This window comes from Homo sapiens, chromosome 21 (assembly GCF_000001405.40).
Source record: "Homo sapiens chromosome 21, GRCh38.p14 Primary Assembly".
In the NCBI taxonomy this organism is placed as follows: Eukaryota; Metazoa; Chordata; class Mammalia; order Primates; family Hominidae; genus Homo; species Homo sapiens.
In genome coordinates, this window is record NC_000021.9 from 28925605 (window position 1) to 28939542 (window position 13938).

Below are 13938 nucleotides of genomic sequence, written 5' to 3' on the forward strand. Positions count from 1 at the left end.
ACCATCTGATCTTCGACAAACAGAACAAAGACAAGCAATGGGGAAAGGATTCCCTATTTAATAAATAGTGCTGGGAGAATTGGCTAGCCATATGCAGAAAACTGAAACTGGATCCCTTCCTTACACCTTATACAAAAATTAACTCAAGATAGATTAAAGATTTAAATGTAAAACCCAAAACCATAAAAACCCTAGAAGAAAACCGAGGAATACCATTCAGGACATAGGCATGCATAAAGACTTCATGACGAAAACACCAAAAGCAACTGCAACAAAAGCCAACATTGACAAACGGGATCTAGTTAAATCAAAGAGCTTCTGCACGCAAAAGAAACTGTCATCAGAGTTAACAGGCAACCTACAGAACGGAAGAAAATTTTTGCAATCTATCCATCTGATAAAGCTCTAGTACCTAGAATCTACAAGGAACTTAAATTTACAAGAAAAAACAATCCCATCAAAAAGTGGGCAAAGGATATGAACAGACACTTCTCAAAAGAAGACATTTATGTGGCCAAAAACATTTGAAAAAAAGCTCAACATCACTGATCATTAGAGAAATGCAAATCAAAACCACAATGAGATACCATCTCATGCCAGTCCGATGGCGATTATTAAAAAGTCAAGAAACAAGAGGCTAGCAAGGCTGTGGAGAAATAGGAACGCTTTTACACTGTTGGTGGGAATGTAAATTAGCTCAATCACTGTGGAAAACAGTGTGGCGATTCCTCAAGGATGTAGAACCCAAAATACCATTTGACCCAGCAATCCCATTACTTGGTATATACCCAAAGGATTATAAATCATTCTACTATAAAGACACATGCACATGTATGTTTACTGCAGCACTATTTACAACAGCAAAGACTTGGAACCAACCCTAATGCCCATCAATGATAGACTGTATAAAGAAAATGTGGTACATATACACCACGGAATACAATGCAGCCATAAAAAAGAATGAGTTTGTGTCCTTTGCAGACATGGATGAAGCTGGAAGCCACCATTCTCAGCAAACTAACACAGGAACAGAAAACCACCGCATGTTCTCACTCATAAGTGGGAGTTGAACAATGAGAAGACATGGACACAGGGAGGGGAACATCACACATTGGGGCCTGTTGGGGGTGGGGGGCAAGGGGAGGGACAGCATTAGGACAAATACCTAATGCATGTGGGGCTTAAAACCTAGATGACGGATAGACAGGTGCAGCAAACCACCATGGCACATGTATGCCTATGTAACAAACCTGCACATCTGCACATGTATCCCAGAACTTAAAGTAAAATTAAAAAAAAAAAAAGTTAATGCCAGGTAAATTAGGCACATTTTGAAATTTAAAACTTTTAACAAAATATAACGGAATTTTTTAAACCTCAGTTAAATAAAATTTTAAAACCTAACATAAAAAAGGCTCAATCATAAAAGAAAAAAAAAAAGGTCTGATTAAATTTAACCGAAAAATTCTGTGAGATTAAAGATAGTCACAGAAAATGTTAAAGACAAGCCACATATTAGAAGTCCTATGAGCTAAAGCATTATGATCAGTAAGAATACAAGTAACCTAGCAGAAAAATAGGTATAGATTATGGACAAAAATCTGTCAAATAATGACCAATATATGAAATGAAGCTAGGCTTCTTAAGGAAATATAAGTTAAAACAAAGAGCTACTATCTCATAGCTTTCAGACTGCAGAACTTAAAAATTCTGATAAGACTACGTGTTGGTGACAAGATAGGAAAACCAGAATTCTCTTAAACTGCAGCTGGGAGAGCAAACTTGCATATCACTTTGGAGGGCAATTTGAAGACATCTAAAGTGACAGAGTATACACATCCTACTACCTGGAAATCCATTTTTATTTATTTTATATATATATATATATATATATAAAATTTTTTTTTTTTTTTTTTTTTTTTTTTCAGACTGAGTCTTGATTGCTCTGTTGCCCAAGCTGCAGTGCAGTGCCACGATCTGGGCTCACTGCAACCTCCCTAAGTAGCTGGGATTACAGGTGCACACCACCATGCCTGGCTAATTTTTTTTTTACTTCTACTAGAGACGGGGTTTCACCATGTTGGCCAGGCTGGTCTCAAACTCCTGACCTCAGGTGATCCTCCCACCTCGGCCTCCTAAAGTGCTGGGATTACAGGCGTGAGCCACCGTGCCGGGCTGAAATTCCATTTTTAGACATATGTCTAGAATATCTAGCACATCTGCATGAGGTGACATGATCAAGAATGTACACTTGCAGCACTGTTCAAAATGGCAAAAAAATAACAATTTAAACAATCTTTAGTAAGGGAACTGGTAAGTAAACTGATATGACACTAAACAGCATTATGTTGAGTGGAAAATCAGGTTACAAAAGATTACATACATAAAACATCATTAACATAATTTTTGTTAACTATTATACATTGTTTCTGGATAAAAACACATGGTAAAGTATAAAATCTTAAACAGGAAGGAGTCACACCAACTTCAGAATTAGTACGTTAGCTCTAGGGAAAGAAGGAGGAGAATGGCGCCAGGGAGAAGTACAAAAGAGTAACATTTTATTTATTTAAAAATCAGAAGCAAATATGGCAAAATAGTATGTGAAGGGTACAAGGGCATTTATATTATTATTTTTCTGCATATTTGAAATATTTTTAATTAAAAAGAATTTTAATGGGCACATATGGTATAACAATCAAATAATAACATTAATTACTTGCACCACAAAAATGTATCAAATAACAACATATTATTTAAGCCACAGACACTTATGTACATACATTGGAGCATGTGATAAAAGAGTCAAAAATAAATTTTAAAATTTGCAATTTACTTTGGGGTTTTAAATTAATAATTTTGCTAATCTCATGCAATTTTAAAATGTCCTTAAGCTAAAATTTTAAGGGCTGTAATCCTTTTAGTTAGAGTTGTCAACGCTGTACAGATGTGGTATTCTGAATTTCAGTCTTATCTTGTAAAGCTTTTTCTTTAGTATATAAACAGTTAACAAGCTTTACAATTATACTTACAAGTCTTAAAGAAATGTATTAAGAGTCCTAAGTATGAAGAACAGTTATTTAATTATAACTACTTAATTATAGTGTTTCACCAAGAATCTGATGCCCTAATACTAATGTGGAAAAACAATGCTCCATTATTCCATTTTCTTTTCTGCTTGGGGTTTGGGCCAGAAGCCAAGATGTACCAATACTGGAAAGGTTTTAAACAGTCTTATTATAAAACCATTTTTAAAGGAAAAGTAATAACTTTCACGGGGAGTAACACAATCCTTTGGGATTACTATGTCAGAAAGAGACATAGAAAGATAGAGAATATTTTAAGAAAAGGGTTAACGAGGTAGTAAAATTTTGCTATCTGTACTTCACTTACTGACCCTCAGAGGCTCAAGGCTAGAAGACAATAAATATTTTACAGTAAAATGTAGGAGGCAAACAAAACTGGGCAGGACACTGCATCTATAAATATAATTCGAGAGATCTATAACTCACACATAGTACTTCACTCTCAACTATAATCCTCTGACCACATTCATACTATTTCAATAGTCATTTTACCCAGTAGATGGAAAGCAGTAATTTTATTTATCATGAATTGCTTTTTGCCAATTAAACATGTGCAACAGAGATGATTAGCTGGTCTCTCAAGTAACCTAGATATTAGATATGCTATTTCCATGTAATGGAAGACTGCAATAAAATTATTCCAAGTTCTAAAGTTCCACACTTTTATATTTTGGGCACAATTTTTAAGAGTGGCAAAAGGCAGGTTTTCACTTACTCCACTTCAGCCTATTATACTGAATTTTACCTAGTGCTAAAATCCTTAACTTTCATTTCTGAAGGCTGAAAAACATTTGCTCCCCCAAGTCTCTTATTTAGTATAACTTTGGCTGGTAAGAATAGCTCAGTTTGCTTCCAAAATTGAAAGTCTCCTACAACATTTTTAAATGTTTTTTTTTTCCACTGATCTTTAAGTTTCAGTAATACTCATTTATTTCTTCCCTCTCAATAGAAGGATAACTACCACTCCGCTTCATGAATGAAATAATCAAATTACTATTTCTCTCAAATTCTCACCCTCTAGAGACTCGCTCAGAGTGATAAATTCACTGACAAGTTTACAATTCAAATTTCACTAATATATAGAAATAATTCTCCCACAAGCAAAAAGGTCAGCATCAAGAATTTAATTTTCTGAGTTTCATAACCCTTGATAAATGGAGGCACCTTAAAGTTCAGTTTAAACTCTTTTATATAGGATTTCAGAGCATGCCTCCAGATATCTTAAGACAAGCCGTATTAATAGCTTAGTGTCATTTTTATCATTAAAATAATCTACAAATATCAGAATACTAATTTATTGTCATAACTAATAAATAAGGCTTAAAATATCTATAGATGTAAATCAGCTCTCTCAGTTCGTTTTGCTTCACTTGGACTATTCTAAAACACAGATCAACAAACGGAATGGGTTTATCAATAATATAGTTGTGCAATCTTTTCACAAATTCCAATTCTGTAATTTAGGGGTTTTTCATATTTATTTTTAAATATACAAAGAAATTAAACCATTAATAGAAATATTTTCTCTCAAATATGTAATATTCTTTTGTAAAAGAAAGTTTCCAAACATTTACAAAGCAATCTAAAGTTAAGTAAACCTGATTTTAGGATTATTACATTAACCAAAATAATTTTCCAGAGAAGGTCCTATTTAAAAGTAATGCTCACTGGCTTCCCCACATCCACACTTTCAGACGGATCCAAATCCAATGCCTTTGTTTGATGTACTTCAGGGATCCCTTCCAGTGAAAAAAATCTCAGAAAAACGTCTCACGACACAGTGGACAAGTGGATTTGTTGCTAGATGTAAACCATTTGTACTGAAAAAGAAAAGGTTTTAAATACTAAAAGAACTTTTAAAGTTCTCCTCTAACATACATCATAAAGTACACATACATCTATAGTAACCTTCAAATGATAAAGTGAAAAGGGAAGAACAATAAAATTTTTGCTCTTTCTGTTATCTCCAAAATTAACACAAATTGAGTATTACTTCCGATGGCTACACTAAGTTCTTCCTACTTAGGCTCATGCACACAATCACTAAGATATAAGAAATCTCCTGTGAAACAAATGAACAAATGGCAACTTCTTTTTCAGTATGTTTAAAAAGAGCACAGGGCTCTGATGCCAGATGGCTTCCAGTACCAACTCCTGTACTCTCCTTCATGGTCTAGATCTCAGAAGACCTTCTACTTCTTGAGTGGTAAAAGGTCACTGGAAACACCCATTTATTAGAGGGCCTTGATTCTACCAGTCTCAGTAAACTGCTAATTATCTTTGGCAGATTTTAAAAAATCACTTTTTAATATATCTCCCATTAGCTACAATTAAGTTTAACACACATTTTCTCTTCCGAAGTTAGACATTGTGTAGGTGTGTGTGTGTGTGTGTGTGTGTGTGTGTGTGTTTATGTGTATAAAATACATAAAATATAAGTAAGTTAATTTCTCTTTAGACTTACCAAGCAGGCTGAATGGAATTTTTTCTTGCATGTTCTACAGGCTTTTTTGGGAAGGGAATAGTTGAAACCGTGAATGACTGAGAAACAGATCATGCAATCTTCAACACCCTCAAAACGTTTGTCTACGTTATTTTTCCATAAAGCTAAGCCTTCCATAATACTTCCATTCTGTTAACAAGAAGAAAAATAAGTCACTACACACTGATAACCACCAATTTTATTTTTATTCAATTTCACAAATTTTAAAGTTGAATTACAATTCTGAAAGAAGAGAATCTGCTTGGCTATGTTCATGTCTCCCAACTTATGAATGTTGGTTTTTAAAATAACCTCCCAAGTTTTTGGAACCAGATGTAATTTTTCTCCATTAAAGACATACTTTAAAGGCTTCTGGACCAATACTTAAAGTGTTATAGTCTAAGCTTGTTGCTTGATAAAACTCTCTTAATAATTAAATCATTTAGGTTAGTTCTAATGTTTAACTGAAAATGATGAAATTATCTCAAATGATTTGTTCCAGCTCTACAATATTGGTGAGCATATTTGTTTTAAAATAGTTTTTCTTGGCCGGGAGCGGTAGCTCAAGCCTGTAATCCCAGCACTTTGGGAGGCTAAGGTGGGTAGATCACTTGAGGTCAGGAGTTCGTTGACCACCATGGCCAACATAGTGAAACCCCATCTCTACTAAAAATACAAACAATTAGCCAGGTGTGGTGGCGGGTGCCTGTAATCCCAGCTACTCTGGAAGCTGAGGCAGCAGAATCGCTTGAACTGGGAGGCAGAGGTTGCAGTGAGCTGAGATCATGCCATTGCACTTCAGCCTGGGCAACAAGAGCAAAAACTCTTAAAAAAAAAAAGTTTTTCTTTATTGTAGAATGCCTGAGATACACAATGTGCACACAGAACTGAAGATTTAAAATGTGTTTAGAGGTCAAAGGTCTTTGAGGGTCCTGGGACTTCTCTAACCAAAGAGGAGTTGAAATGTAAGAATAAAAGTGAAAGTAGCTCAGAAGGCATTCATCTGTCCAGTATCTTTCAAAACATCCTCTCCGAAACAATTTTGTTAATACACCTTCTACAGTGTTAATGAAATAAAGTCAATCCCTCTCAAACACCAGAAAATAAATTACAGAACCTTAACAATTAAAACAGAAAGGCAGGTTTAATCCATTTAGGCATATCTCTGTATTTATCCAAGGAAGTTTAATATCTACTTTTATCTTAAGCAGAAAAGATATATTTTATGTTTAAATGCCCTTTTAAATAGATCATCTTTTCCAAGTTTGTAAAGCCAAATGTGTAAACAGAAACTTACCTGATGGGTGAGGTAAGTGCTTAACTGCAGCATCCAGTTCCGCCACTGCTGAACAGCTACTCCTACTCTTTTCCCACTTTCTACTATTATTGAACCCAGTGGATAATTTGAAGGCAGTTGTATTATAAGTTCAATAACTATGTCCTCAATAGTATAAGTAGCCATTACCTCTCGAGTAGTAGCTCGAGCTTTAACCTGCAATACAACAAAGGATATTTTGTTTGCCAAATTTCTGTCTTTCAACCAGAAAACATTTTGATAGGTTGACTATTAAAAGCTAAAGACTTCATTCAAGGACAGTGCAGGTAAATACATTCACTTATCTGACATGAGATAATTAAGAAATACGTTTAAATACCTGCCTGGTATATTTTTACAGTGATTTTGTGATATTCAAAGTTTGTTTTAAAAGAAATTAATTGCTCATAAAAAAGGTTTTATTATATTAGGCTTGTCACATAATAGTTCAATAAACCTTGAATAGATAAGTGACAGAATGGGTTATTATGCTTCTCTTCCACACCCAGAGTATCGAATGTCACTTCTACATCTAACAATTCTTCCTCTACCATATTATCCTCCTGAGCTTTGGAGCCAACTATCAACTGTCAGAACATTTATAGTTATTTGTTTGGTTTTCAAACCAACATTGCAAACTCAACATAAAACGCACACATTATTATCCTTTACAAACTTCATCTTCTGAATTTCCTACTTCCAGGCTAAAAAATCATGATAGCTCATTTTAAATTTCTGCTTCTACCTCATCCTAGATATTAACTAAATCACTAGCACAAAATCTCTCACATCCCTACTTTTATATTCCCACTGTTACTGCCTCACCCATGCCCTAGTCCTTTGCTCATGTCTACCCCAATAGTCTCCTCTACCATTCATTTGAATCCAAACTGTTTGCCAACAGATCATGCTATAGATTGTGGTCAGAGCAATTTCAAAGATTTTAACTCTGATCATGCTACTGCCTGAATGAAAAATGTTCAGTGGCTGAATTGTACCACTTTAGACCGTTATTTGAGGCCCTTCCCAACATACCTCTTATTCACCGTTGATTCTATTCACCCTTGGGACTCCTACGCATTATTTGGGTTGGAGTACTGCATTATTTATCATTTCCTGGGCAACGACTGAAATGACATTCTCACTTCTATGCTTTTTGCTTTTGCAATACTATTCTCTCTCTCTCTCTCTTTTTTTTTTTTTTTTGAGATGGAGTTTCACTCTTGTTGCCCAGGCTGGAGTGCAATGGCGTGATCTCGGCTCACCACAACCTCCGCCTCCCGGGTTCAAAAAATTCTCCTACCTCAGCCTCCCGAGTAGCTGGGATTACAGGCACGTGCCACCACACCTGGCTAATTTTGTATTTTTAGTAGAGATGGGGTTTCTCCATGTTGGCCAGGCTGGTCTTGAGCTCCCGAGCTCAGGTGGTCTGCCCGCCTCGGCCTCCCAAAGTGTTGGGATTACAGGCGTGAGCCACCACACTCGGCCTATTTTCTTTATAGTAAATGCCATTCCCTTCATTTTCCCCATAACAAAATCCTGCCCACCTCCAAGTGATTTTCTTCCATAAAATCTCACTTAATCCCCTCAGCCAGATGAATCTTTCCCACTCAGATCACAAGGCACTCTTTCTCTTAATATGCTACTTTCCAATGCAAAAATAATTATCAGTCTCGCTCTTTTCCCTTTATTAGACTGTATGTTATTACAGGACAAGAATCTGGTCCTACTAAACTGTTCATATCCTTGGTGACTGGGACACAGTGCTTGGCATCTGTAAGTATTCCAGTACAGATTTTGAATGAACTAATGAATGCTCAAAAACTATTTGGTGGGTGAAATGGTTTGGATCTGTATCCCCGCTCAAATCTCATGCTGAATTGTAATCCCAAATGTTGGAAGTGGGGCCTGGTGGGAAGTGATTGGATCATGGGGATGGATTTCCCACGGGTGCTAGTCTCGTGATAGTGAGTGAGCTGTCATGAGATCTGGTTGTTTAAAATTGTGTGACACCTCCCCGCCTCTCTCCCTCCTGCTCTGGCCATGTGAAGTGCTGACTCCCATTTGCCTTCCGCCATGATTGTAAGTTTCTGAGTAGCTGGGATTACTGGCGCCCGCCACCACGCATGGCTAATTTTTATATTTTTTTAGTAGAGATGGGGTTTCACCATGTTGCCCAGGCTGGTTTCAAATTCCTGACCTCAAGTGATCCACCCACCTCGGCCTCCCAAAATGCTGGGATTACAGGCATGAGCCACTGCACCCGGCCTAAACCTCTTTTCTTTATAAATTACCCAGTTTCAGGCATTTATAGCAATCTGAGAATAGACTAATACAGTGTGTGAATGAAATTATACCACTGTTTCAATCCACGCATGAAGTAATGTTGAGATTTGACACACAAATTAGAAAATAAAATAGGCTGGTCTTGAACTCCTGGGCTCAAGTGATCCTCCCACCTTGGCCTCCCAAAGCGTTGGGATTAAGGCATGAGCCACGACTCCTGGCCACCAGTTTCTATAAATTCTGAGTTAAGAGCTACAGTCTGTTATGATATTAACAATGACAGACATACCCAATATTAAAACAACTTTTCTAGAGAAAGTCAAGACAATACTAACCGTCATGCCATTAAATAGTTGTGTACTTGTTTGTACAGAAGATATTTCTTGAAAAGAAAGAACACTGCTGACATACTTGCTTGTAAATCTATCCACAATATTGAAAACACGCTTCTCACTGCTATTCCACCACAACCTAACCATGGCAGGCAAGTCTTTTAATGTCATATGATAGACTGAACAAGCCAAGTGTGGAATGTGGTATGGAAGCATTGTTGTTTCTGAGGAAAAAACAAATTATTGATTAGTAACATATATTTCTTATATAGAATAACAGACTAATATTAGTATTTTCTTTAGAAAGTGATCCTTAATTTCTCAACAATAGTGCTATAGCTCATAAAAACAAACATACCAGAGAAACCAGAACTCTGGAGTATGAGCATCTTTCCACACATTCAAAATGAACCATAAGAATGGCAAAAGAATTTTTTTTTAAAGTGAAAATCCCGCCGGGCGCAGTGGCTCACGCCTGTAATCCCAGCACTTTGGGAGGCCGAGGTGGGTGGATCACGAGATCAGGAGATCAAGACCATCCTGGCTAAAACGGTGAAACCCCGTCTCTACTAAAAATACAAAAAATTAGGTGGGCGTGGTGATGGGTGCCTGTAGTCCCAGCTACTCCGGAGGCTGAGGCAGGAGAATGGCATGAACCCGGAAGGCGGAGCTTGCAGTGAGCCGAGATCACGCCACTGCACTCCGGCCTGGGCGACAGAGCGAGACTCCGTCTCAAAAAAAAAAAAAAAAAAAGTGAAAATCCCAATTGACACTGAAAAATCTACCTAGAAACAGATTTCTGTATTTAACATGAAGACCACAAATAAAATAGAATACACATATTTTAAAAAGAAGGAAAAATTAAAGATGCTTGCTGTTATAAATTATGAAAAGGAGTTTGGCCTCCTTTACTTTCCCCAGAGCTTGCTGAACTGCTGTGCAGAAGTCTTGGAATACCCAACTCAATACTCACAAGATGCAGTCCATCCTCAGATCTCCAAGGCATTTAAAAAACTCATATTCTTAGTAAATTGTTTCCAATACTGTAGTACAACCAGATACATGCATATCTGTCCTCTCAGCTCACATGTGAGCTCCCAGAATGAAATGTTATTCAACTTTATTTCCCCTGATTTATATGCCTATAAAATGTTATCACGTAAGAAATATTTGTTTACAGAGTCAAAAGTTAATAGTCTCACCACACTAAGCTTCAAAAATGTATTAAATTCCTCACAGTCTTATGGGTAAAAACTAATTATTCATCCTATTTAGAGAAATATGGAAAATGGTCAATTTCAACATTCTCATAGCCAGGACCCACCTTTGGGGTTATTCTCCACATTCTCAGGGAAAAGTTTAATTCAACCTAGTCTGAATCTAGTGTCCAAGAAAGAACATAAACACATATCTTACTGACCTCTAATACTCAGCTGGAGCTCCTCAGTAAAGAATGTTTTAGGGTCCTTATTTGGGACCTCAACTGCTGTCTCTGCATAGGTTGGATTTTCTGGCATAAGCCTGAACAGGTGATAGAGCAATTTATTCAAACTCTTTGTTTTCCGAAGATACATGGAATACAAAGCCCGAAGCTGGTGGAGAGCAAAGAATTTGTTAGTAAACCAAATACACCAAGACAATTGGTATAAAAGAACAACTCAAAGTGTAACAAATTTCCTTTCCTCATAAACTAGCAGACATTCTATCCCCTCATTATTGTAACACATTTCTAATATCTTTCTCAAATTGTCTTCCTGTATTACAATGCACTCACCTTGGCTTAGAATGTCTGAGACAAGAAAATCTATTCACCATTCCCACAGATGACTCCCTCACTCTCCTCCCAAGTCTTCCATACATTCCTTCCACACCATTGCCCTTAACCTTTCAAATTCCTGCTTAAAACTAATCCCATTTTTATGGCTGACCTCACCCTGTATCAAAAACTCCGACATCCCTTTACGACAGAGAGCACAAACTAGTGGTCCAAAATGTCATGGGGGTCTTCTCAGAGTTGTTTTTTCAATCAGGAAATTTCACATAAAAATATGGATTTCTGATTTCTCTTTTAAAAACAGAAAAACGAGCCACCAGTGGGAGCACTGCAGGTATCTGTGTGAGACCTGTACTTCACAACTCCTGCTTTCCCTCCATAAAGTAGCTTGCATTTTCCACATTGACTTTGCAGTTCTTTGGTATCTGTATTGGTTTTAAGATAATTTCTACTATATCACATATCTCCTCACAGTACAAAGATATCATTTTCTTTCCCTTTTCTTTTTAAAAAATTTGTATTTTTAATTTTTGTGGGTACACAGTAGATATTTATGGGGCATATGAGGTATTTTATAGGCATATAATATGTACTAGGGTAAGTGGGGTATTCATCACCTCAAGCATTTATCCTTTCTTTGTGTAAAATATAGCATTTTCTGAACACTATGAATACTTAAGTACAAGGATCAAGTCATAGGATTTGGAATTGATTTTTAAAATATGTTGACCAAAGTGCTCTTATCATCAAACTTAACATCACTAATGAAGGATGAACATCCCAAATCTGAAAATCCAAAATCCAAAATGCTCCATAATCTAAAACTTGTTGAGCACCAACATGATGCTTAAAGGAAATGCTCCTGGAGCATTTCAGATTTTCGGATCTGGGATGCTCAACCAGTAAGTGTAACAAAAATATTCCAGAATCTGAAAAAATCTGAAATCAGAAACACTACTGGTCCCAGGCATTTTGGATAAGGGATACTCAACCTGTAAAAGAACACAATGACATTATATGGCTCCTGAGGTAAGACACTGAGAACACATAACAACTTGTGCAGTAAGTACTATTGCTAAAAATTAACCACAATCTAATGAGGAAACGATCAGACAAATTCACATTGTATGACAGGCTAAAAACAGCTGGCCAAAACAATGACAAGAAAGAAAAGAAAGGTATAGAAATTATAGGTTAAAGAAACTAAAGAAATATGACAAGCAAATACAAACATGATTCTTGATTGGATCTTCAATAGAGAAGAAAATAAAACTATAGAGATATTACTGGGACAACTGAAAGTATCTAAATAAAAATTAGATATTATTGCATCAAAATTAAATTTCTTGAGTATAAAAATTATATTATGCTTATGTAGAAACATGTCCGTGATCTTAGGAGATATATGCTTAAATACTTTTGGTAAAGCATCAAAATATCTGCAACTTACTTTCAAGTAGATCAGCAGAAAAAAAGTAAATACAGAGAAAGTATGTGCAAATGTAGCAATATGTTAAAAGATGTATGTAACTTTTTTATCTAAAAGAGTATGTGATTTTCCATTGAATTATTCTTCCAACTTCATTGTTTAATTTTTCAAAACAAAAAGTTAGAGATTTTTAAAAAATTAATCACCAATATCAATGGACTTTTAAAAACACACATATACGACCCAGCAATCCCACTCCAAGGTATACAACACAAGTGAAAACATATTTCAACACAAAAGCTCGTACACGAATGTTCACAGCAGCTTTATTTTCAATAGCCAAAAAAAAGGAAACAACCTAAATGCCCATTAATGGATAAACAGATAGATAAACAAAATGTGATAGATCTACAAAATGGAGTATTATTCAGCCACAAAAATAAATGCAATACTTATGATACATGCTTCAATTTGATAATCTTGAAAATAATATACTAAAATAAAAGCCAGACACAAAAGACCAGATATGTGAAATGTCCAGAACAGGCAGATGCATAGAGACAGAACACAGTTTAATGGCTGTCAGGAGCTGCGGGGTTTGAGAGGAAATGGGAAGTGATTGCTATCAATTACAATGGGATGTTGAAAAGGTTCTAAAATTATATAGTGGTTAACAGTTGCACAACTCTGTGAATACAGTCAGCCCTCCACTTCCATGGGTTCCACATCTGAGAATTCAACCAATCGCAGATTGAAAACATTTGAGGGGCAAAAAAAGTGATTTAAAAAAACCAATACAACAATAAAAATACTAAAAACTTTAATACAGTATAGCAACTATTTCAATAGCATTTACACTGTATCAGTGATAACTAATCTAGAGATGATTTTAAGTAGTATACAGGAAGATGTGCATAGGTTAGATGCAGATACTATATGCCATTTTATATAAGGAACTTGAGTATTCGCTGGGGTGGGGGTCATGGGAGGGAGCCTGGAAACAATCCCCAGCAGATATCAAGGGATGACTATATACTAAAAACACCAAACTGTGTATGCTAAGTGGGTAAATTTTATGGTATGTGCAATATCTCAGTAAAGCTTTATAAAACAGACACAAAAACATACACATGTACATATACAACTTTTTCCAGTTCAATCTGATTTGCTAGTTTTTTTGAGAAAAAAGTTAACCCATGATTTAGGAACATTTAAAGTTTTCCGAAGAAAAATT

The 13938-nt window shown here is 35.9% G+C and overlaps 1 protein-coding gene across 6 annotated transcripts in view; it reads right to left on the reverse strand.

The window, feature by feature from the left end:
* Positions 1-2539: 2539 nt before the first annotated feature.
* LTN1 (listerin E3 ubiquitin protein ligase 1) overlaps positions 2540-13938 on the reverse strand; it is a 64734-nt gene continuing 53335 nt past the window's right edge. For all 6 annotated transcript variants that reach the window (NM_001320766.2, NM_015565.3, XM_047440741.1 and 3 more), the window contains 5 exons: positions 10922-11093; positions 9505-9725; positions 6866-7060; positions 5551-5718; positions 2540-4906 (listed from right to left, as the gene is read on the reverse strand). In NM_001320766.2, the coding sequence (NP_001307695.2) occupies positions 4844-4906; positions 5551-5718; positions 6866-7060; positions 9505-9725; positions 10922-11093 (819 nt within the window). In that variant the 3' untranslated portion in view covers positions 2540-4843. The remainder of the gene's footprint in view (positions 4907-5550; positions 5719-6865; positions 7061-9504; positions 9726-10921; positions 11094-13938) is intronic.